This window comes from Homo sapiens, chromosome 14 (genome assembly GCF_000001405.40).
Source record: "Homo sapiens chromosome 14, GRCh38.p14 Primary Assembly".
NCBI classification, from domain to species: domain Eukaryota; kingdom Metazoa; phylum Chordata; class Mammalia; order Primates; family Hominidae; genus Homo; species Homo sapiens.
The window spans coordinates 38863082-38888269 of NC_000014.9; the positions used below are offsets into that span (position 1 = coordinate 38863082).

The 25188-nt window shown below is 39.3% G+C and overlaps 2 long non-coding RNA genes across 2 annotated transcripts in view; one reads left to right on the plus strand and one right to left on the minus strand.

The window, feature by feature from the left end:
• Positions 1-25188, minus strand: part of LINC00639 (long intergenic non-protein coding RNA 639) — a 167544-nt gene that overhangs the window by 113743 nt on the left and 28613 nt on the right. The window lies entirely within an intron of this gene.
• The window catches only part of LOC105370457 (uncharacterized), a 40472-nt gene continuing 30932 nt past the window's right edge, over positions 15649-25188 (plus strand). The window contains exons 1-2 of the long non-coding RNA NR_135256.1: positions 15649-15660; positions 19515-19559. This is a non-coding gene — a long non-coding RNA (uncharacterized LOC105370457). The remainder of the gene's footprint in view (positions 15661-19514; positions 19560-25188) is intronic.

Sequence of the window (25188 nt, forward strand, 5' to 3'; positions counted from 1 at the left end):
GCAGAGAGGGCCTCCACGGCACCACAACTGATATCCCAGGAAGAGGGGCCCAGCTCAGGCTATTGGACCAGATGAGTGGTTCCTCTCAATGCCTGGAGATCTGTCTGCACCAGGATCTCTGCACAGGAAGGGCAGGATGGGTCAGGCTGTTGGTCCAGGTGAATGGGTATTCCAAATGCCTGGAGATATGCCTGGATGTGAAGCAGAGAGTCCCACTGAACCCTAATCTATGTCCAGGAAGGGTGGGCATCTCAGGCTGCTGAACCAGGCAAGTGTGTGGAGCAGAGAGGGCCCAGCTGCATTGCAATCTATGTCCATGAAGGGTGAGGTGGCTTAGGCTGCTGGTCCAGGCAAGTGGGTGCTCAGAATGCCTAATTTTCTGCCTAGAGGTGGAGCAGAGAGGGTCCTGCTGCACCATGTGCTCAGGGGAGCAAGCAGGGGCACCCAGAAATGGCACATGCAAATCAGTTCCAGGTCACCAAGCCAGCCCTGGCTGCAAGTCTCACCACCCAGGAGAAAGTGCAGCTGTAGCAGCTCTCCTCCCGCCCCAGGCTTACAATGGGGGAAAGCACAATTCCAGCATCTACTTCTGAGGCACTTCCCACATTTCTAACTGTGGAAGCCCCTACCCTACTCTAAAGCAGGCTCTTTAATCTCTGGCCCAAGACTAAAATGCCTGCATGGTTGCATTGCCAGGTCACCCAAGAATAGTTGCCTTTGTATGCTCGTGGAGTAAAAATGGCTCCCTGCTCTCAGTCCCAGGTCTGGGAAAATGTCTGCGGCTTTTCCTGATATCTTTCCCTCACAACATCTTCAAGCCTCTCCTCAGGTTAGCTACAGGGCTTGAGAGAAACAAAGTGCTTTCCCTCAGCCTGGGTTGCTTATATCCCCAATGGAAAGAAAGTCACAGAGGGAGGCTATCTATATCTCTCATTCTGGGGCTTCACGCACCTTTATCAGCTGGACGCCATCATGAGAGCTGCTTGGTCATGTTCTCCTATCCAAGATCTGGGGTATCATTCATAATTCTAGTGTACTCTCATTTCCCTTCTTGAATTAAAGCTCATAGAGTCAATCTTTATTTACTATCTTGCTATCATGAAGTGGCTGAGGAATGCTAAGAGCCTCTAATCTGTTATCTTCTCATGGCTGCTTTAATTTGCATTTCCCTAACTTCTCATGAAGTTGAATGTCTTCTCTATGGTGTTTATTCTGTATTTGTGTTTTTCATTGGTTTGTTTAGCCTTTCGATTTTTTAACTTGAGTTTATTTTTGCAATCAATTCACGGGAGAACTTTGAGGACTATAACCCTCTTGTCTGGCATATTGCTAATATCCCTCAAAACTCTCCCACAAATTTCCATATGTGATGTCCATTTTCTCCTCAGTCCATGGCTCTCTTTTACTTTTGATGTCTTTTACCATATAGGGTTTTTTTTTAATTTTTATGCAATTGTGGTGGAGACTACCAGTTGCCCGCTAAAACCCATTCTGCTTGCTTCTTTGGCATATGGCTGCACTGTACTTCCCTACTCCCTTGCAGTTAGGTGTAGCCCTAGGACAAACTTTCATCAATGTGATACACACAGGATAAATGTGTACCTCTTCCCACATTTAGGTCTTAAGAAGTACTCATGCCCCCTCCATGCTCCCTCTCCTTCCACCAGATAGAACTTGGACATGACAGCAAATTTTGACCATGGAGGGAACAATATCCTATGAGACAACAAAGCCACATGTATCAGTCAGGGTCCAATCAGAAACTGGGTGGGAGTGGGGCTTAATATATTGTTAAACTCTAATCAATGAGTGACTATAAGAGAAAACACCATATGGTACCTGATATGGTTTGACTGTGTCCCCACCCAAATATTGAATTGTAGCTCCCAGAATTCCCACATGTCCTAGGAGGGACCCAGTGGGAGATTACTGAATCACGGGGGTGGGTCTTTCCCATGCTGTTCTCATAAGAGTGAATAAGTCTCACGAGATCTGGTGGTTTTATAAAAAGGGAGTTCCCCTGCACATGCTCTCTCTCTTGCCTGCTGCCATGTAAGACATGCCTTTGCTTCCCCTTTGCCTTCTGCCATGATTGTGAGGCTTTCCCAGCCACGTGGAACTGCGAGTTCATTAAACCTCTTTCCTTTATAAATTACCCAGTCTCGGGTATGTCTTTATTACCAGCATTAGAATAGAATAATACAGTACCATTGGGCGGAGGAAGAGCCCCTGAGGAAGTCCAAACCTAGAGGGGACCCCCTTTCCCAAGGCTGGGGTTCAGCCCACTAGATAGCAGAGAAGTTTACTTGTTTGCCCAGGCCAGAGCTAACTGCAATCACTGAACAAGCAGGAAGCAATCTTCTGGAGTAGAGGCTGGGCACAGGCAGTCAGCAACTGGGGATCTTGGCCTGGGCATGCAGAGGGAGTGAGGCTCTTGGGCACAGGTCTGCAAAGTAAACTGCACTTGTAGGGGCAGGAGGCCTTCAGAAGCCATTTTTCAAGTGAGTTGGGCTGCAGAAAGGTTATCCCCAGGCCAGGCTTAGGCTGTAACATTGCTAAAGGATCATTCATTCTGAGTGCATGGTTAGAGCAGAACTCTACAGAATGGCCTCACATTGACACTGCTGACCCACTGTATAGCTGCCAGAAACAGCAGAAGCCCCTTTCACTAGCAATGTCCCTCCAGCACCCTCTAATGAGAAAGTGTAACATCTTACCCACTGTAAATGGAAGATGGCTGCAGGAATTCTGTCCACTGTTATCACAGAACATATGAAAGAGCGCAAGTGGAGCTTAAAGGCAATAAATTGTTAACTAGCACACTGAGACTTGTCAACTATAAAGAGCCTGAGTTCCTGAACGACCACAAGGCCCCCACCAGTGGTCAGCAACCACCTGGAATGCTCACCTCTGAAATGTTTCATGAGAGAAAAATAAGCTTTTGTGTCCTTTGAGCCACATGGAGAGGGGAGGTTATTTGCAATAACAATTTGGTTTTATCCTAATTCAGTACTCTTTCATTTTAGAGTTTCTTGGTTTCCTGCCTTGTTTAGGAAGATCCTCTAGAGTTTACTTAAAAATACGCAGCAGGTGATTATCTGATTAGGAAAAAACTTGTCAAAAGAGAATATGGTCACTTTGGTTATGGTTAGTTAACAGCTACTTCCTAATACAGACAAGTAAGGAAGAAAATAAAAAGACAAATGAACATTGTATAAGTAAAATGCCATAAACAAACCACTCTAGCTCCTTTGAGTAGCTTCTGTGAATACTTTCCAAAATGCAGACTTAAAGCAGCTGCAGAGAGGATGTTAATGTAAAGTAATCATAACAATTAGGTCTCCTAGTATATCGAGTGTCTTGACCACTCTATACAAACATTTGTTAATTAAGCAAGAGGTGTGAGCAGCTGGAAACATGGAAGGTATAGTTCCGTACAAAATTCTACACTGTCTTATGCCAGAGAGAATTCCTCTCAGCATGTGGATTGCCCTGTCATGTGAAAAGTTAATTATAGCCTCTCCACATCATCTCCGTCGTCCTCCTTTCCTCTAGTATCATTTCCTTCTTTGTGAGAAGTCAGTGTGGGCCTTATAGATAAAGTCAGTCAACATTTACGGCTGTGCTGTGTATGCACATTATATTGCCTGGCACTGTGGGAAAACACAAAGGAAAAACAGGCCCTCATCCAGATAAATAAGCATTTATGGCCTATCAGGGAATCTGAACCAACACATGAGCAATACAGAATAGGCAGGCCAAAAGAACATATCACTAATGAAAGCACCACTTGTAACAAGTGCCCACCTGTAGTAGGAACAATGAAGAGATGCTGAATGAACACATTTTCATCTCCCCTTTCCTGTAAAATCAGCATATATGTATGTGTAAATACTGGCTAACTAATCAAGTCCACCAAAAGACAAGTCAGAATTTGGTGATTACCTGAAGGTGAGTGGAGATAAATATTTTTGATGCTGGTGCTTTTAGCATATAATGGATTTATTATATTTCAGACACTTGTTCTAAACAATAGCATAAAATCTACTGGCAAATATCATCTTTCTCACTATTGTTTTGTTTTGTTCTGGGGCTCTGTTCTGGAAATCAAGGCTTACATTTTAGGGTAATAAAAAACAAAATCACCTACCCTGCTCAACATTTAAATAACACCTTTGCGCCTTTCTACCTTCCTCCCTGTAGGAATTCCCTGCATCCCCGATCCCACCTGCCTAGTGAATTCCTGCTATTCTTCAGACTCAGTTCATACAAAACTCCTCTGTGGGGCCTTTTCTGAGTTCCTCTAGACAGAATTTATTCAGCTAGCATGAGTGTTATCATTGCATTTTGGAAACATTTACTGCATGCTTTTATCTCCTGCTGATCTGTGGCAAGGATTTTTGTCTTCAATATTTATATTACTACAGCATGGCATTTGTAGGTGGCCAATATAAGCTTATTAAATGAATACATTTTCACTTTTGCTATATAGTTTCCATAATCTAGTGTCAGAACTTCAAATTCTTAAAACATGTCACAAACAGACTAATAATATTCTAGTAAAATTGTGTGTTGGTTTGTATTTAGAGCAGTGTTAAAAGTCTTTCCACCGATTGTTCCACAGCCCATGGCAGCGTTGAGTTGTGTCCTGGAAGTACACTGCCCTCTGCTGGCGTACTTTTCAACAAGCACATCAGTGCAAGGCAGGCCTTTGTTTAGATGGTGGTTCTAATCCCCCCACCATGCTGGGCAGCAGCTAACCACATGGCCATAGCTATTTATAGAAGGACAGTAGTGTAGAATATTAATTTTCATTTTATAGTCTGTGAAACATAGGCAGGGTACCAAATAGGAAATAAAGGCTGGTAAATGTCTTTATGTGTATTTTATATGGAGCCCTGAGTTGCTTAGAAAATTCGTATCATTTTTATTGTTTCATAATTTGAAATGGCTTTATACCAGTCTTGCTAAGACCACATAATTGTATCAAAGAAATATAAGACATTAGCACAACAGATCAATACACACACACACACACGGTGTGTTTCTAATTTTGTAAATACATGTTCTATATGCACATATCTGAAGGAGGAAAGGTTAGGAATAATGTCTCAGGATGCTAGTAAATGACAAGATTTTTAGCTGCTTTTAATTTAATTTTTGTTATCTTCTGTATTTTCTAATTTTTCTGAAATAATCATGAACTACTTGGAAATTAAAAAAAATGAAGAGAGAAAAGTTTATAGATAACGTTGCCAGGGGAAACAGTAATAGATAAGGCCTAAAGGCAAAATTAAAACTATCCTGCTTAGTGCAAGTAAAAGAAGTACCTTCTGATGCTTAACATCACTAAGAAAAATAAATCTATAGTTGTCGATTACAGGAAGAAATGTGCTTGTCCTCTCAGGGAGCCACTGTTTAGCCAGCCCCTCCAAGACAGGTCCTGTGAGGCTTGGTTCAGCCCCATTTACCTAGAAATTAATCATTAAGCCAGGCTGTTCTTCGTTAAGAAGCCAATGAAGTCGGTCTGCCATAGTCCCAGAAATACGGCTTGTGAAAGACTGCTTGAGTTACTCCAAAAAGAAACCAAATCATAGGCACTTAGAATACCCTGAGAAAGCTCAAGAAAGGGGGGAAATGGCATGAACACTTGGCAAAGAAAGCTCAGCAATTTTCTTTTTAATTATTGAGATAAGAGAGTGAGTTTGGTTTCATTTAGCTGTTCAAATAGAAATCTATTTAAATATTTAAACAGAAAAGCCTCCTGATCTACCATCCTGCCCTCCTGTAACAGCTATGGCCTCTCCACAGAGATGAATTTTATAGTGGATTTGGTTTGGGAAACTTCTGTTTTATGGGTTAGAAATTGATTTCAAGAGCATTCAGCAGAGTAAAATACACACAATTGTGTATTTGCTTTGGGGGTAAGTCCACACTCCCTTGCAGTACAAACTAAATCTCCTGCTGGTAAACACTAGGATGTTTGGCGTTTGAATTGCTTCTCTTTTAGAGATGTGGTCCTGATAATCTCTTTCACAAACTATTAAGGGCCCAAACCCTCCACGAATGCCTGGCCCTTACTTCCTGGGCATCATCCTGTGCTGTGTTTCTTCATTCTATTTGGACAAATAAAATTCAACAACATCAAAGCAACAAATATTTGTTATATGCCTACTTGTTGTGCCCAGTGAAAATTTACTCTCCCAGGTGGCTCCTGATAATCAGACAAATCTTGCTGCTTTCTTCCATAACCAAGCCCATTCCAGAATTTAAAGGTTTCTTTAAATTATGCACCCTTCAAGAAGCAATTCCACAAGATGGGGAAAGGCAGCCTGTCACAGCATTTAACCCATCAGACATTTTATGCTTCCAGTGTTTTACTCTGCCTAGAATGTCCAGACCATTTTTTCTTCCAGCAAAATCTTTTAACCTTAAAGGTCTAGCTTGATTCTCAACACTTCAGCCTCCCCTGAAGCACTACCTCCCTGAAGATGTAAGTTTCCCTTCCCTGATCATCGTTTCCAATTTCCTTGTTCCTACTTCAGGCAGAGCTCTAACACTGTATTACAATTTTCTGTTTACCATGTCTGCTTTTCCTCTTTAAACTATGAGTTCCCAAGGAAACAGACTGTCTCACAAAATAATATTCCCAGTACCTACTGTTCGATAAATAAATACTGAGTGAATGAATGAATGTAACAACCCCTAGAGAATCCAATTTGTCTGTATACTTTTATATGTACAATAAAAAGATTAACAGATCCAAAAAGACAGCGTGAGAGCTTTATCTCAACTCTTCACAATATGTGATAAAATAGAATTGAACAAGTACTGTTTTAATTAATACCTAACAGAATGGCATTTATTAATATTTCTGTAGAGAGTAGTGTGAAAGCAGCAATTTTCACTTTGAGATTTCTCATGGGGAAAAAAAAATCAGCTTTTCAAGAAGAAAAGTAGATTTTCCTAGCAGCTCAAACTTCCTTTCACCAAATTCTGTTAAATCGAAACAGCTAGCCAAAAGCTGTTGCACATTTTGTCACCCCAAAGAATGTGATTTTTTTTTCTTGCTATGTTGGTGTGAGCTTTCCCACATTGCTTTATTTGACTGTGTGTGTGCCATTGGTGGCTGAGAAAAGAAAATCTCAGATATCATTCCTTGATTCACCAATTATAAATTTTGTAAAAATTTGTAAAAATACAAATTGTAAACTTGTATATTCCTAGTTAATTTAGTATTTTATTACTTTAAATCATAGTTCTCTTCCTTGGGAAGCTAATGTCTCCTTAATAATGAATTGTGCTTTTCCCCTAAACTATTCCCTGTTATTATTCCTGAACATTCCACACATAAATTCATCTCTGACCTTTTAGATTAATCCCTTTGTTGTTTAAGATCAATTTCGTCTACTTCCTGGTAGCCAGCAAGCCTGTTGGAAAAATATATTCATTCTTTCAAGTCCACAGTAGCACAAAATGCATTCCACAAGCTAGTATAAAACCATTTACAAACCAGAGGCTCCCAGGCTGGTAATTCAGCAAAGGTCCAGGCTGTCACTAATCCATCACGTAAATTGTTCACCTGTGAAACCATAGGTTCCGTATATGGAAATACAAAGCTAAGTCATTGTCCTCATAATTCAGGTTTTTTCAACTCTAACCTCATTACCTGAATATTTCAGATGAATGTGGGGGTTAGGTCAGCCTGAACAGTACAAGTAGAGAGGGTAGGTTAATAACTTTGCAATAGCTAATGTCCATCTTTCATAGGCAAATCAGTATACTCTGCCCAGATTGACACTTCTGTTTCCAACTTAAAGATTGTTTAACTGATCCATCTCCAAAAGTCTACGACTAAATTCAACCCTTAGGCAGTTTGAACATTTACAGTTTTGTTGAACTTAGCAAAATGATCATTTATGTTGTGCATACTCCAATTCTCAAGGCTGAGTTAATGTTAATATCACCTTGATGTGCTAAGATCTCCTAATGATGTGGTACCCAAAATCAATCTTCTTGTGTGCTGATTAGAGATTGATGTGAATTGAGTTATGACTTTATTCATGATAGACAAAAGACAAAGCTTTGGTGGTTTCAAAAAGGAAAAGACCAGCCTTGACAACATGGTGAGTCCATGTCTCTACAAAAAATACAAAAATGTGCCAGGTGTGATGGTATGCACCTGTAGTCCCAGCTACTTGGGAGGCTGAGGTGGGAGGATCACCTGAGCCCAGGAAGTCAAGACTGTGGTGAGCTGTGATCAAGCCACTGCACTCCAGCCTGGGCAACAGAGTGAGACCCCATCTCAAAAAAACAAAAAGGAAAAGATTTTAGAATATCAAATATCTTTTATCTCCTAAGTTAGATGCACAGACTAGCTTTTACTCACAAACAAGGATGAATACACTCTACCCATGCATCTGTGGCAACCAGACACTATAGTTCCAAGGTAGAATTATTACATAAAGTTGAATTTCTTTTTTCCTAAGCTGCTTGGGGTTGTAAGTAGAACAAAAACCTATATTCTGAATTTAGAAACTGGAAAAGCAGGTATGCTAAAATACAGAACATGATGGACAGCATAGCATTAATCTTGTTTTTGGACTTATTTCCCTCATGGAAAATTTCTTCACAAAGAGAGATTTACTGAGGGAGAGTCCAGTCCCCATTGTGCTATAAGAAATTCAGGAGCTTAGATAGAGGCCGTGTAACAAAGTTAGGATATTTGGTTGTGATGCAGGGCAGGGGGTTTAGGAGATCTAAAAATCATATTAAAAATTTAAAACACTTTGATTTATCATATATTTGATATATGATTTATCAAATTAGCAAAACATTTACTTTTAATAATGCTTGAAGCTAATACTGCAGCTACAGTAGTTATGAATAATTTAAATTTGAATTTACATGTTTAATCATTTCTGTCTTAAAAAATAGCAAAATGCAATGTTAGGTTGACTGTTTCTCTGATTTCCATGTAAATTACCAGGGTTAATAAATTTGCTTGTCACTTAACAGAGTCTAGAATTATTCAATTACTAAGTATTTCTTCCTATGTTTTTGTATTTCTCTTATAAGGTCTTCTGGAAGAAAAACTCTGTAGTAATATAATACCTGGCTCTTTTGACATATTGGAGTAAAGATTACATTTTTAAATCTAATAAAAAACAGATTATTTAAACAAAAATTAAACCTTGAATCCAACTATCTTATTTCAAATGTTTGTTTTCTTTACTTTTACTGTTAATAACATCATCTTAGAAGCTTAATAAATTTTCCTTTGTGTTTTGCTCAGTGCATTTGACATATTTGTTTTAGGTAAGATCTCTTTCAATTTAGTTGAGATTCCTGTTCTCTAAAGGAAATGGGCCAGGGAAAGGTGAGAGGGGAGTAACAGAGCTGTCTGAGGAATTGTAGAACTTGAGATGATAAAACAACAGGTGGTCAATGAGTTTTATAAACCTATACCTGAGTACAGACAAGAAAAGCTGTGCTCTAGAAGAAGACAAGCCCAGAGGTCATCAGCAAGTTGTGCTGTCTCAAGAGCTCTGTGTCAAGGCGGAAAATGTTCTCAGATACCAAGAAGCTGACCCAAGCCAAAGACCACACTTAGACCAAACTTTTATGACACATGGGCTTCATCCTGTTACTATACTTTTCCCCTCACTTTTCCATGAGGTACCACCAACATGTTCTCTTATTCACTTATGTATTCATTTAGCACATGCCTGTTGAGCATGAAGTGTGTGCAAAGCACTGGGCCATGCACTAACGCCATAGGCATGGCTAGCCCAATGCCTGCACCTTGAGCCCCTTATGGAAGTCAGCAACCTGCACATGCTCAGACCCCTACCCACACCAGGAAAAAGCACACTGTCTCCCTCCAAGTGTCAACATCAAACAAAAAAATTCCACAGAAACCACTTAAAATCAGAAGACAAAGTTGAAGCCGTATATGTTGAAGTTGTCATTAGACTTGCTGCCTGTTTCTCTTTAGCAGTTTAACCTTCATTCTGGTAATCAATCCTTTTTTTATTTATTTCAATATCATGGTGCCTGGACTAGGACTTATATTTTCATAGCTAATTACAAATATACACATATTTCCTTAAAGGTATATAAAATTATTATCTTGGCCTAGATAAGTTTAAAACCCTTTATGCTTAAATTCCCCTATGGTTCACTGGAAGTGCTGTAGCCAGTGTCCTCAAGGTAGTGAAGAACCATGATCGGCCAGAGTAGATGCAGGAGATAACATGTGCAATGATGAAAACATCTTTGTTTCCTTACCCTGCACCAGGCTTCGTGCCGTGTGCTGGGGCTAGAAAGATAGATTTGACCACAGGATGAAAATAATCACAAGTTAAATTCCTGCCTCAAGTTTCTCATGCTTTCTCAAAGCACACAGACACATCAATGCTAACCATGCAATCAAATGGACATATAAAGATACATATGAACTGGATACTGCAAAACGGAAGCATTACAAAATTGATCTGAAAACAGGAGAGGGGTCAGAGAGAGTTTCACAAAGTAGGCGACAACTGACTCAAATCCCATCAGACAAGTGGGAGCTTTCTAGATAAAAAGAGTGGAAAGGCATTCAAAGCAGCGAAATAGCCTATTGCATTTGGAGAATTGGGGAGCAGTTTGATGTGGCTACAATAAAGATGTGGCAAGGGATCAGGCTGAAAGGTAAGCAGAGATAAGATCCCAATGAGCTTTGAATTCACCACTAAGGATAAGCTTGAGTTTGGGGTTGGAGAATTACATAATTAATTTGGGTATGAAGCTAGAGGTATAAATTGGGAGTCTTTGATTTATGGGTTGAATTTGAAAGTGCAATACATTATATAGAGCTTGTGAGTCAGAAGAGAGGCTGAGAATCTAACTCTTTTGAGCACCATCATTTAAGAAGCAGGAAGAGAAATAAGAGTCCACAGAGGAGTTTTTAAATGAGCAGCCAGAAAACAAGAAGAAAATCGTAAATGAGGAAGAAGGCACAAAAAGGGAGTTTTGAGAAGGAAGTCTCTAGCAGTGCAGTGAAGAGGTCAAGTAAGATGAAAACATAAGATTCCAATAGACTCACCAAGCAGATGATCCCGGGTAGAACAGGAGAGAAGTCAGATTGCAGGAAGCTAAGATAGAAATAACAGATGAAGGAGTGAAGACAATTCAGCCTTGCCTCATAAAGAAACATAAGGCTAGAGAGGACCCAGGAGCCATGAGGTTTTGTTCTGAAGATAAATGAAACTTAAGCATTACACCAGGGGAGAGGAAGAAGTTCAAAATATGAGACTTAAAGAAGGTCACTGCAGAATTGAAGTGTCAAAGGCAGTAAGAGCAGACAGGACTGCAATGTCAGCAGAACATTGGACTCTAAGAAAAAGAGACGAAAAGAAAAACAGGTGCAGTTGAAGACTATTCTAAAAAAAAATCAGTGTTAAGTGAACAGTGTTTATTCCTCCTAGGTCTGGTGAGAAGAAAGGTCTAGGGTAAGAGACATTAGGAAAGTCATAAAAGTTGGAACAACTTGGCATAGGAGATAGCAAAGGAAGTTCAACAAAGGCACTTTGGAGGATCACTGGGTGGTTTTGAGGGTCTACTTAGGATTAGAGATCCTACCTTTTTCTAATGACATTAATCCACAATGCTCTGGGTTTCCAAGAATAAAAGGAGAGATGAATTGATCCGGGTTTGGGCATCGCATGGCAAATGGGCAAGAGAGTTGAAGGTGCTAGCAAGAGAAGCTTAAAAGATGTAGGTGGAAAAGGGAAGGAAATTAATCTAGCTGATGTATGTTACTCAGAAGGCAAAGGGAAATGTCAAGGAACTAGAAGTCTTCACAAATTCAAAGACCAAAGAGGATGAAACTTAGAAAGTGAGACAACTGTTAAAGACAAAAAGCAGTAGTTCAGAAATAGATGAGTTCCTAGTTCCTAGTGGTGACCAGATCCAAGGTGTGAGCATGAAAGTGAGTTCTGGGAGCAGAGTGAAGGTATAGATATTGGCATTGAGATAAATGAACTCCAAGCTACTGATTGTGCATACCAACTGTATGTTTCTCAGGGCTTTATTTATTAGATGCCAAGCATAACACCTCTAACAACCCTATGAGATAGAAACTATTATTTTCATCATCCTCATTTTACAGATGAAGAAACTGAGACACAGAAAGATGAAGCAACTTGCCTAAAGTCACACAGCTATACTAGAAGGACTAGGGATTTAAGCCCAGGCAGTCTGGCTCCAGAATTCTTGCTCCCAACACTACACTACACAACTTTCCCCAGAATGGCACAGTAGCATCTTGGAGCTATAAGCAGCATGGCTCAAATCAGGAGATTTTTGTAGGAAGGTGGAAGATGAATGATCACCTAAAATGTAACTTAATGCCCTCCCTAATATCTGCAGCATTAGTACTGCATTTATTGAGCTTCCACTATGTGCCAGTTTGTGCTATTTTAAAACAATTGATCCTAGTATAGCAGCTATAGAGCTAGGATTTCATTTTGTCTGTATTCCTTCCCTGGAATTTTCACAAAAGGTTTTTGTTATTTAAAAAAAATGATAGCCTGGTATTCAGCCTGCTGGGTAGTAGGATCTTAAATGATTCTATAAAAATCCACTGTCTAGCAGCCAAATATACTCATCTGAGAAATAACTGAACAATTCACGGTAGACTCAAATGGTGCTGCATCCACCGGAATAACTAGCTGGTGATAGTTTACTTTACAGCCCACCTACAACAAAACTGAGAAGTTGCACCTGACACTAGTCAACCTGGCCATCCTAGAACTATCTATACTGCAATATCTTAGCACATCCTAAGGAAAATATTTAGAGATCACACTCATTTTTTAACTCAGATTTTAAACACTCTAGAATACTGTGGCTATGTGAAAGAGCTCCTCCTCGCTCAAATATTCAACTACATCAAGTTGCTTTTTTCCGTTTTCAACATTTTCTGAGAATTATACCAAGAGTTGTGGCTTAACTGTCAGCATTGCATAAATTTTCTAGCACCTGGGTTATCGGTGGAAGTAGGATGTCAATATAATGTCATAACATACTCTATTCAATATTTGTGGTAATAAACTTCAGAATGAATTATGACATACCATAATTTTTCTGTGTTAATGAAGGATGGAGTTGCCTGTGTTTAAATTTTATAGCCTCCTTTTAACAACAGTTACAATTTCATTGGTCTTCTTCCAAAAATATTTGTAGGAAGTATCTTATCCCGTCCCACCCTCCATCAGAAAATACTAAAGTCAAAATGTAGCCATAGTAAGCTAAAAATGTAAAGTTAAGAATCATTATTCTCTACAATGTGAATTATCAGGACTTGCTAATCAGCCATACGAAATGCAAACACTGGCATTGAAATAGGAATTTTTGGAAGGCAGGATAGCCTAGAGGCTTCAGTTTGAATTTCTTCATTTGTCTGAGTATGTTTCCTTGTCCATAAAATAATGACTTCTTCCCACGATTTTTATGAGAATCACATTTATTCAAGCATTTGCCACACTGCTTAATTTAGCACAAAACTAGATAATATCATTTATCTTTTCGTCCTTTTCATTTGACTTCTCAGCAGCTCTTGTCCCAGTGGCCCTCGTTCCTTCTTGATACACCCTCTTCTCTTGGGTTTTCTCATATTTTCTTTGTCTTCTGATATCTTAAGGACTCCTTTGCTGGTTCTTCTTCATCTATGCAATCTCTAAATGTCACATTCCCTTACAGTTCAACACTAAGTCCTCTTCTATTTTTCTCTCTCAGCTCTCTCACCAGGCAAACTCACCCTCTCGCAGGCCTCAAAGAGTACCTACCTGCCAAATTAACAGCTCATTTCTCTCCTCTTAGTTTCAGACTCATGTATTCTTTGTAACTACTTGATATCCCAACATGGAGATCTTACAGACATCTCAAAGCCTCACGTTCAAAACCAAGTCAGGGCCGGGCGCGGTGGCTCAAGCCTGTAATCCCAGCACTTTGGGAGGCCGAGGCAAGAGGATCACGAGGTCAGGAGATCGAGACCATCCTGGCTAACACGGTGAAACCCCGTCTCTACTAAAAATACAAAAAATTAGCCAGGTGTGGTGGCAGGAGCCTGTAGTCCCAGCTACTCAGAAGGCAGAAGGCTGAGGCAGGAGAATGGCGTGAACCCAGGAGGCGGAGCTTGCAGTGAGCAGAGATCGCGCCACTGCACTCCAGCCTGGGCGACACAGTGAGACTCCGTCTCAAAAAAAAAAAAAAAAAAAACAAAAAAAAACCAAGTCAGAGCTGACCCCTGAAGGCCATGCCTGCTCAGACTTGCCCTTTCTCATGCTCCCTCTCCCTGGAAATGCTCCACCATCCACCCAGTAGCTCCAGGCTGCAATCTGAGCATCATCTGATTCTGTTCTTTCTCCACCGTCCATACCTAATCCATGCCAAGCCCTGCCTGTGCCCTATAAGAAGATCCTCATGTTGCCTTTCAATTCTAAAGTCTCGGCTTCTTAGAGCTGGCATTCAAAAGAATTAGCACATTTCAAAACCCTCTACTAAAGTGTATCTTAGAGATTATTTATAAATGAAGGGTTTGATCACAACTATAAAAATATTAATAGTTTAAAGGCAAAGAATATTCCTAAGAACACTCAGTGTTACTAAGTTTTAAAAAAGAGATACATGGTAAAATAAGTTTGGAAAATGCTAGATTAAACAGAATTAAGGTTTTCACTGTTGTCATTGCTGTTTTAACTCCAGACTTCTCAGAGTTTTTGAACAATCCTCATGAATCCATAAGAGGAACATGACCCGTGTGTCACATATTCACCACCCTCTGGTTTATTCTATCAAAAGGGGCCCAGAGCCAACTTCATTCTTATCTGGGCCACCCTCAATTTCCCTAAGGACTGCCATTCATTTTATATCTTGTTTTCATCTGGAACTCCTGAACTCCTGTTCCTTTTCACATGACATTCCTCTTCTTCTTGGCATCAGCTGTAGGGTAAATGTGAAGTTTACCACATATCCTTAACTGCTCTTTATTTCCCACAAGAGCACCAAACAAGTTTTCATAAAAATATCAGACTTTCCCAAGGGCTTGGAGAGGCAAGGAGCATTACGTCATAGCAATTCAAACACCTTAGAACCGAAGATTAGATATCTCCATTCTTAAAAATCCTCTCCTCCTCTCCACCAGAAACCTCTGATTGGCCACCATTGTCCATTTATTCCAGAGTACTGACAGATTGCCTAATCTCTCTCCTTCTTACTCCCTTCCCTCTCTTCTCTACTCTTCTTGGCTTTTCTCCTCTCTCAAACTATACAGTATTTACTTTCAATGCATATCAGATTGACTATTTATTTGATTCCTTCTTCTTTTTCAATCCAGCCAATCTACTCCCAACTGCTTACCAAGTCATTTTTCTAAACAAAGCACTTCCTTCAATAGAAAAACTGCAAGATATGGCTTCAGCTACCAACCTAAAATAATTCAGCATCTTATAGTCAGCAATTGAGTTCTTTTGAAGGGAAGTGTCTTTGCTTAGAAAACTTTGATTGTGACATCCCTTTATTTCAGAACATATTCTAGAATTTCTGTTTCATAGAATTCTTCTTGAATCACAAATTTAAAAAAAAGACAAGACAGAAACAAATTGACATCTCAGGGTAGGTGAATGTTGGGAAGTGGATGTAAAGAAAAATCAACCTGCTGCTTATATAATTGTCATGCAACCCAGGACCTCATGCCATGCCCTTACCCATCCCTGTGGGTACAGGAGTTGTCTCAACAATGATCAGACCAGCAATCTGATAGCAAAAAATACCCTACTGATTCTCCTCTTTTCTCCCACCTCATCCTCATGCACACACATGCATACAAATGCATACACCTTCCCAGGTTTTTCCCACAGGGCTCTCTGGAAGTCTGCTCAGCAGTGTCTTAAACTCCTGCATTACAGCAGGTTGTTGCCTGAGGTCCCAGAATCACTCAGGTCTGGATGGACCACAGCCCAGTGTGCTCAATGCCACTGTGTTCCAGAATATGTTGCTGAGACATCACTCAAGCCACCACGAACTCCGCTGCACCTCTCCTATCCGTTGGAGTTGTTGCTGGCCATGTTGTTACCCTCCCCAAATCACCCACTTTGACTCTGACTGAGCATCAGTCAGCACTACAGCTTCTGCCCCTTGTACTTCCTCCTCTCTGCCAGTGCTCAGCTTCTCCTCAAGGTTCTGATATACCTCCCTCTTCTCAACATTGCCTGTTCTTAAAGGAGCCCCTAAGCAGACCTGCTTTTTTCAGCTGCTATGAACCTTTTGGGATTTTATGCTGAAAATTCTCTCTTCCCAGAGGCATGTGTGCCACCAGGATGGCTAGTCCCATGGTCATTTTCTCAGGGCTGCTATAGAGCAGAGAAACAATTCATGGGCCAAATCTAGCCTGCCACTTGAGTTTGTAAAGTTTTATTGAAAAACAGCCACACCAATTCACCTACACATTGTCTAGGGTTGCTTTCTACTGCAATGGTGGAGGTGAATAGGGTGACAGATAAAGACCTTGTAGCCCACAAAGCTTAACATATTTACTTTTTGGTCCTTTTCAGTAAGTATGTTGATCTCTGCTATAGATGAAACAACAGAACTGTATGATTCCTCAATTTAGCCAGCATAATTTGAGGAGCATCCCCTTGGTGCACACAGACCCAGTAATCTTATCTGGAAAACTAACAGGATAAATGAATCAAAGGATAAAACACTATTCTAACACATGCCCGGGACACTATAGGCCATTCTGATCATGAAAATTAAATAAACAAATAAAGCAAATTTTTTTTGGGAGGGAGTCTCGCTCTTGTTGCCCAGGCTGGAGTGCAATGGCACCATCTCAGCTCACTGCAACCCCTGCCTCCTGGGTTCAAGCATTTCTCCTGCCTCAGCCTCCCGAGTAGCTGGAATTACAGGCACCCACCACCACACCCAGCTAATTTTTGTATTTTTAGTAGAAACAGAGTTTCACCATGTTGGCCAGGCTGGTCTCTAACTCTTGACCTCAGGTGATCCACCCACCGCAGCCTCCCAAAGTGCTGGGATTACAGGTGTGAGCCACTGCACCTGGCCAAAACAGGTAAAAATTTAAAACTGAATGGGAATAATAACCCCAGGATAAAGATCCCGACTATCTGTGGGTAAAGGGAAAAGAACATGTTCAGGGACGGGTAGAGAGGATTTCAACTGTATTTATAACAAAGGTTTCTTAGATTGAATGGTAAGTACAAATGGATTCATTTCTTTCCCTATGTTACATATCTTCCAGATCTATTCCCCCTTTCTCTGTCCTGCTCTGAGCCACAGGAGGCTGGCTATTTGACCTCACCAAAGGGCTCTTTTGCCTCCTGTTTTCTGACTGGGTCCAGCAAATAGACAACTGCAGCAGGACAGGGAAGAAAGACAGGGTATTTATTCCCCCAACTTCCTGCACACTGAATGTGACCCTTGAATGAAAGCCACAGCTCTTAGCAGGAGACCGCCACACAGCCATCTCTGACTCCAGTAACTGCTTCCTCCCCAACTCCTTGAATTAGCCATCTATTGCTACATAACAAGTGACCCCCAAGAACTGCAGCTTAAAACAGAAATCTTTTATTATCTCAAAGTTCCTGGGTGCTTCTTCCTCAAGGTCTCTCGAAAAACTGTAATCAGGGTATTACCTGGAGCTGTATTTTCACCTGGCTCAACTGAGGGAAGATCCACTTCCAACTCACTCATATGGTGTTGACAGGATTCATTTCCTCACAGATTGTTGGACTGAAGCATCCCTCAGTTTCTTCTCATGAAGGCCTTGATATAAAGCAGCTCCAATCTTGGCAGCTGGGTTCCCTCAGAGCAAGCAAGACAACCAGACAGAAGCCATTGTTGTTTTGTAATCTAATCTCAGAAGTGACATCCTATTACTTTTAGCGTGTTCTGTTTATTAGAAGCATATGACTATGTTCAGCCTACACTCAAGAGGGAGGAAGTACCCAAGGGCATGAACACCACACTCACTGGGTGGTGGGAATCCTAGAGATGGTTTATCACACTCTTTCAGGCCTAGAGCAATAACCAGCTGTTACTAGTCCTAGGGTTACTGAAACATTTCAGATTTCCCTAAACTCTGGTAGACAGTTCCTCATTAAGCTCCCTGCAAATTACCTCAGCTTTCCAGGACCCTGATTTGAAAGTGTAATTAAAGTACACTTACAATGGGAAAGTGGCTGCAAACTAAGCTTGGAAATGAGGACATCAAAGACTACTGTACGAGAGTTTGAAGGCCACAAGGGTAATATGTAACTCAGGGCTGACACTTCATTTTTCCAAACAGCTCAGTGTAAAAAATAACAGTAAAAATAGCCTGAGAAAGGTTTTAAACAAGCACAAAGTGGAGATGTCCAAACAAAAGGAGGAAGAGAGAATGAAGTTCAAGTAAAACTTTTCCATTGTAAGTAATTCCAATCCTTCCTTGGTCCTAATGTGAGAAATAGAATTCGTTCTGATAGAACAGGAAAAGATAAGAAAAAAAAATGGGGAACTAGAAATAAAGATAAGCTAAAAGCAATAATGAAAATTAATTGTAACATCTGGGAAAATTTAGTTGACCTTTCTGGGAGCAGAGACAAAAATTTCACTAAGACTAATTACCTTATTTTCAACTTTGACTTTATATTAAGTATGAATCTAGAGGGTAAAACAAATATTTACCTTTAATGAAATGATTTTCAAGTAATAATACATTTATGTCTCTCAGACAGGTTGAAAACTTTTTCCACCTCTAACGTTTTTGCCAGTACATAAGATTTTTATCAATCACTGCCATACTTATTAACCTGAACTTCAGTACTAATGTTAAAATAATTTACATTTTTATTAAAATCCTGGTTTCTTAGAAAATTATTTTTATCTCAGTAGTATCTACCATGCCCTGAAAAAGAAATAGTAGGCAAGACTTTACATGTTAGCTCAATAGCTATAGATATTAATAGGATCCTTTGTAGTTCAGAGGGGAAAACAGAACAGAGCTAGGGTTCCCACCCTTCCCTTCAACTCTTCTCCATCTAAGTATAATTGACCAAGCCAGAGTGGAGGCAACTCATTTCTGGGATATCCATCCATTAGATAAGAGATGCAGACATAATAGCCAAGAAATAAGTCTAAAATGCATGGAAGTTTTTATCCTTAGTTATTGAATGAGTTACGTATTTCCTAATTTTCTGCTGAGCCTAGAGAAGAAAATGACCAATCACTTTGGAAAGATATTGATGTTTATGAAGTATAGCCTCTGAATATCTCAAATGGAAAGGAAAGACTATATTTAAACCAAGGAAAAAATTTTACATGAGTACAATTTTATTGCTAGGGACTAACTTTCATATATAATGATTGCTTACACATAAAAATTCATCTATGACATTAAATACCAACTATATAATTCAATTAACTTTATTTTTCCCTTATAATTATCTGAAAAATTTATTCTTTTACAGTGAACAAATTCTTCCCACTCTTCTGAGCAACCATCTCAAAATATAGTAAGTACTGGCCATTTAAATAAAATAAAATTCCCTAAGTAAGCTCATCATTGGTAGTGATGACTCACTACTCTGTTTATAAGTAGGTTATAGTTGAGTAAACACTGTCAACACAAATAAATCACCTCAGACCATTATGTTGAGAAGATCATGGTTGTATTAACTGGTTTTCATGTATGCCTCATTACTTCTTTTTCTGGATTATTCATTGAGAGGGAGCACTATCTATTTAATTTTTTTAATGTCATGGAAGTAAAAGATGTGTGATGGGCACAAAAACTCTCCTGTGAATGTTAATGTTAACTTTCACTTGATTGAAAAACTGCAGTGTAATTTTTACCTGAAAAGAAACTTTGCCTTGAGTATAATACCTTCAAATTATGTAGAGCTTTTGTCCCTTAGAGTTCACATCTCCTCAATACCTAGAGAGAGATAACTGAGCTACAGAATAATAAGCTGATATATTTGAAAGAAAATGCTGGTACATTTTATTTAATCAAAAGATTTTTAAAATGACATTATCAGCTCTTTCAGACAAAAAAATGACTTCTTTGAAATTGGACATCAAACAAAAATTATACAGTGAAATTCCATTATAACTAGATAATTTTTTTAAATATCCACTCCTTCACCGAACATATATTGGCTCACCAAATATTTACTGAGCCCAACTATCATGGGCTAGGCACTGTGCCAGGTACTGGGAATACACAGATAGAGGACATAGTCTCTAGCCTCATGATACTTAGAGTCTATAGAGAAAAAGGTAAATAGATTACTAAAATATTGAGAAATAAGGACTCTAATAAAGGTGTACATTCCGCGATAGTCTCTCATTACTGTTGTAATGGAGTTGTGTTGTAGTCTTTTTTCTTTTTTTTGAGAGTCTCCCTCTGTCGCCTAGGCTGGAATGCAGTGGAACAATCCCAGCTCACTGCAACTTCAGCCTCCCGGGTTCAAGCAATTCTCTTTCTCAGCCTCCCGAGTAGCTGGGATTACAGGTTCCCACCACCACGCCCAGCTAATTTTCGTATCTTTAGTAGAGACAGGGTTTCACCATTTTGGCCAGGCTGGGTCTTGAACTACTGACCTCATGATCCACCTGCCTCAGCCTCTGTAGTCTCTTTTAACAAGAGCTAAGACATTTCTTTAAAACTCTTTTGGTAATGATCTTACCTTGGAGGTGCGGAAAGAAAAGGTATCAGTCTATGTTTGGGGGATTTTCTTATATACCATTAATACCCTTGTTTGAAAGAAACAATATGCTGATGTCCTAAAAATCTGATGAGAGAACACTGAACTGATGAGCAAAACTTGACAAAAATAAAGTTTTGATAACCAAACTCTACCTCCTCAAGCAATTAGAAAGAAATGAATCAATAGGAGATAAGCCCACTCCATTCTACCCTGCAGCTCAGTGTTAACAACAGCCTTGAAGTTAGAGGACCAGTGAGGAGTTTATGAGTGTGTGCATGGAGGAGGGGAATGGGGATCTCTGTGAAGTCTGAGTCCCAGTCACAGAGACATTAAATCTCTCCCATTCAGAACACCTCTAATCTTTTCTCCTCTAACACCCCTACATTGGAATTTTCAAGGTGTGGGACAGAGATTACACAGCCAAGTCAGCCTCCTCTCAGCTGCTTTCATTCTGTGAGAGAAAAGGCCCCAGCTGACCCTGAAAGTTTATAGTCCTGATCAGGATGGGCAAACAAGAGGTGGATCTGTCCACAACACCAAGTCAATCAGTTGTTTCATGCCTTTGTCAAGGAGCTGGTGGAAAGACTGCTGAAATTGGTCAAAATACATAAATATTTAGGTTGGTGCAGAAGTAATTGTGGTTTTTGCCATTACTTTTAATAAATTACTAATAAATTAGTAACCCCTTAGAAAAAACTTGACCAGAAGTCATTCTACAATAGGCACTTACCACATTGCAAATGTATTCCTGTTACAGGGTAGGGACTGTTATAAACTGAAGGTTTGTGCCCTCTCCCCAAAAAAATTCATATATTGAAATCCTAACCCCCAAAGTGATGGTATTAGGAGGTGGGGTCTTTGGGGCATAAATAGGTCATGTAGGTGGAGCTCTCCTGAATGGGATCAGCCTTATAAAAGGAACCCTATAGAGGTCTCCATGCTCTTTCTGCTACATGAGAATACAACAAAAAGATGGCAGTCTGCAACCTGGAAGAGGGCCTTCACCAGAAGGGGACCGTCTTGGCACCCTGATCTCAGACTTCCAGCCTTCAGAACTGTGAAAAATAAATTTCTTGTTGTTTATAGGCCACCCATTCTATGGTACTTTGTTATAGAAGCTCAAACTAACACAGGGGCCAAGTCTTTTCATCATTATGTCCCCAGTGTCTGGTACCAGTTTGTTTTCCACTACATGAGATGCTTCAGAACTTGATCGTGTTGAAATGACTGAATGAGTGAATGGTTCCCTAAGGGATTTATACTAAAGTCAAATATTGGCTTCTGGTTTCCTTATTTTATTTTTAAGCATAGGTATATAAGACAAGTGAAATAAAGACCAACTTCACTCTTTCAGCAGAAATGGGACAGGCTAGAATCCCTTCTGACCCAACTAGCCATGCTATCCTGAAATGACCTCAGGTTTCCTGTACACTTCTCTAAGTGGTGAAACATGCTCAGCATCTACCAGGTCCCAGATCCCATGAATGACATTAATTGTTTCCATAAGGTTTATTCAAAAAGGGGAGTGGAAACTGGGATTCTTCTCTTTACTACTGGCATGTTATAATGAATATGAATTATATGAATAAGTGGCAAGGTATGGCTCTCGGCATACTCTAATGGTCTACTACAAAATCAATAGGAATATGGCCAGAATGTGACAACATGGAAAATAATAAACTTCTAATTGACTCAGTTTTTTCACCTTTGCCCTGAGAACCATGATGAGCCATGAAATCCCAGAGTGCCCACGCATCACTGCAAATGCTACTGGACCAGGGCATCTTATTCTTTTTTTTATTTCCTCCCCTGTCTTCTAACCCCAACTCCATCCTAGGACCTAAGACAGTTTCCAGAGCACAGTAAATTTCAAATATTGTTCAGATGACTGGCATTTCTTCATAGCTAATATGTTATGGGGGAAATAATATCCTTAGAAATCCTCGTACATTGAAAATCTCAACAGGCCAAGAAGTGATAATTCAGATGAAGTCTACACTGAAAAACCACAATAGAGAGAACCAAACATCTCATTATCTGAAAGTAACTGCTTGAGTCTGCTATAAATGTATTTTTGTAGGGTTTCCTTAAAACTTTACTGCATGACATTTTAAAATTGAAAATAAAGCTATTTTAAATCATTGAAATTCAACTGCCCACTTGCTCAAAGAAGATATTTATACAGTTATTTGTTTCTCCAATAGGAATAACTGGCTCACTGCATGCAGTATTCAATTCTTTTGATGATATTTCAGTTTCCAAGTATACCTAAAAAGTAGAATGATCTGGCATTTTATTGAATTCTTTGATTCTATATAGGCTCATATGAGTATCACCTTTTTTTTTCTGTACTATAGATATCATTCATATTCGCCAAGGTAAGAAATTGGGTTAACCCTAGTTCACTTTTTTCTTCAAAAGTGATGTCTTTTAAATATCGGGACAAGAAATCTATATTTGAGTTTGTTATTCAGCATGGCTTATAGTTTCTATTCAGAATTCTACTTACAAATAAATCAATTCTAATTTTCTCAAAACCAAAATTACTCCAGAAAAAATTCAGCAATAGCAAACATTGATCCAGCATGAAAACTGAAATAATTTAAAATTTATTACTTGATCTGCTCTCTCATACATTCAATATTAGAAATAAAATAATTCTTAATACTCTTCCCCAAATTCTATGCCAGTAAAATTGAGTTGCTTCATCATTTTTTATATCAAAGATTCCTTTTTTAAAAACAGTTATACAAGTCAGGAATTGCTTCTCAAAAACCACATTATGTTTTATAATGATTTAATAACCATGTAATCAAAACTCTCCCAACTTTTAGTCAATATTATTTATTTGGTGAAACTCAATGAATTTTTTATGTTAAGTTAAACATAGCTTAAGCTTCTTTTATAGATGTTACTTTGAATCCATCTGTTATCATTAGATTGGGAGGGAGGAGATAGACTTTAAAATAGTTTAACTTCAGCATAATGATTAATTCTAAATTTTATTAAATCCTAATAACTTGCAGATATGTTACCTAATGTGTATGTTTATGTATATATTAAATGTCTCTGACATACATAGGATGCATACATATCTCTGACATACATACATATTTTAACTCCATTTTATTGATGGAGAAAGTGAAAGACTAATGGAGTTGTAAAAATTAGTTTGAAATAAGAGGAATAGGATCTGGGTTTCTCCCTCCTATTCAAGTGTGTCTCTTCTGGTTATTAACTTTTGGAGATATAGATTTTTAAATGAATTACATTAATACATTTTTAAAACCAAAATTTGTCTGTTATTATAGCAACTTGAAGTACAAAGATGTTAGTAATTTTCATTTGTTCACATTGTTCAATCGCTGTAAAGATCAAGTTTAGAACACTGTATTCAATTCCTTCGAAAGCACACACTGATGACACTGACCAATATGGAGAAAGAAGAAACTGCATTTGTAGTGATGACTGCAAACGATGAGCGCAGATGGAGAAATACTGAGTATGGGACCTAAAGGGAGCTATTCAGGTAGAGATGTTCATCAGGTAGCTCTATTTATGGACTCTTACTGTGCATCAGTTTATTACAAAGGCACTTGGGACACAAAAACAAATCCCAGTAAGGAAACAAAGGACGGAATAGGTGTCAGTGTCTGTCAGAGTCTGGTTAGGGCATAGAGGTCACACTAATTACTTTTAATAGAAAAAAATTTAGTGTAGATAGTTATATTGAGTAGATGAAAAGGCAAAGAGAGAACTCTAAGGTATCACAGAGATATCACCTGCAGAAAGCCTCTTCTACCCCTACAATTGGGAAAACAAAGTGAAAGGTTGGGATTATTAAAATTTAGAAGGTTTAGAGGAGGTGACTCATACGCCTGAGACCCAGACATCTAAGAAGGGGCACTGCTCACCTAATGTGTCTGATTCTGCCAGTGTTAGAGAACCTGAACTGCAAAGTGCATTTGATTGCTGCTCTTGGATTCAACTGCCACTGCCAGGGTGAAGTGAGGCAAGGCAGATCCTGACAAAATTAGGAAGTACACATAAACTCAACGGAAAAAAGGAAGTGCATTTTCCCTCCACCAGCTGTGCAGTCTCCCTGGAACCCCTGCTGAGAGAGCCTAAGATGAGAGAAATGGCCAGGCAGAGATCTGATTTACAGAGTGCCAGCCCCAGCACCACAGAGCAAGCTATACAAGGATATGGGTTTGGAGCTGAGAGACATCATAGCTCAATAACTGAAGCAGAATGATTTGTCCCAATTGAGGGGAAGGGGTTCAAAAAGGTTTTGATAAATAAAGTTGAATTGAGTCAAAGAAGTTACAATTTATTGAATAATTAGAATGTGTCAAGCATGGTATTAAGCACTTCAAGTTCATTAGTTCATTTAATTGAATCCTCACAACAACCATTTGAAGTAGATATTATT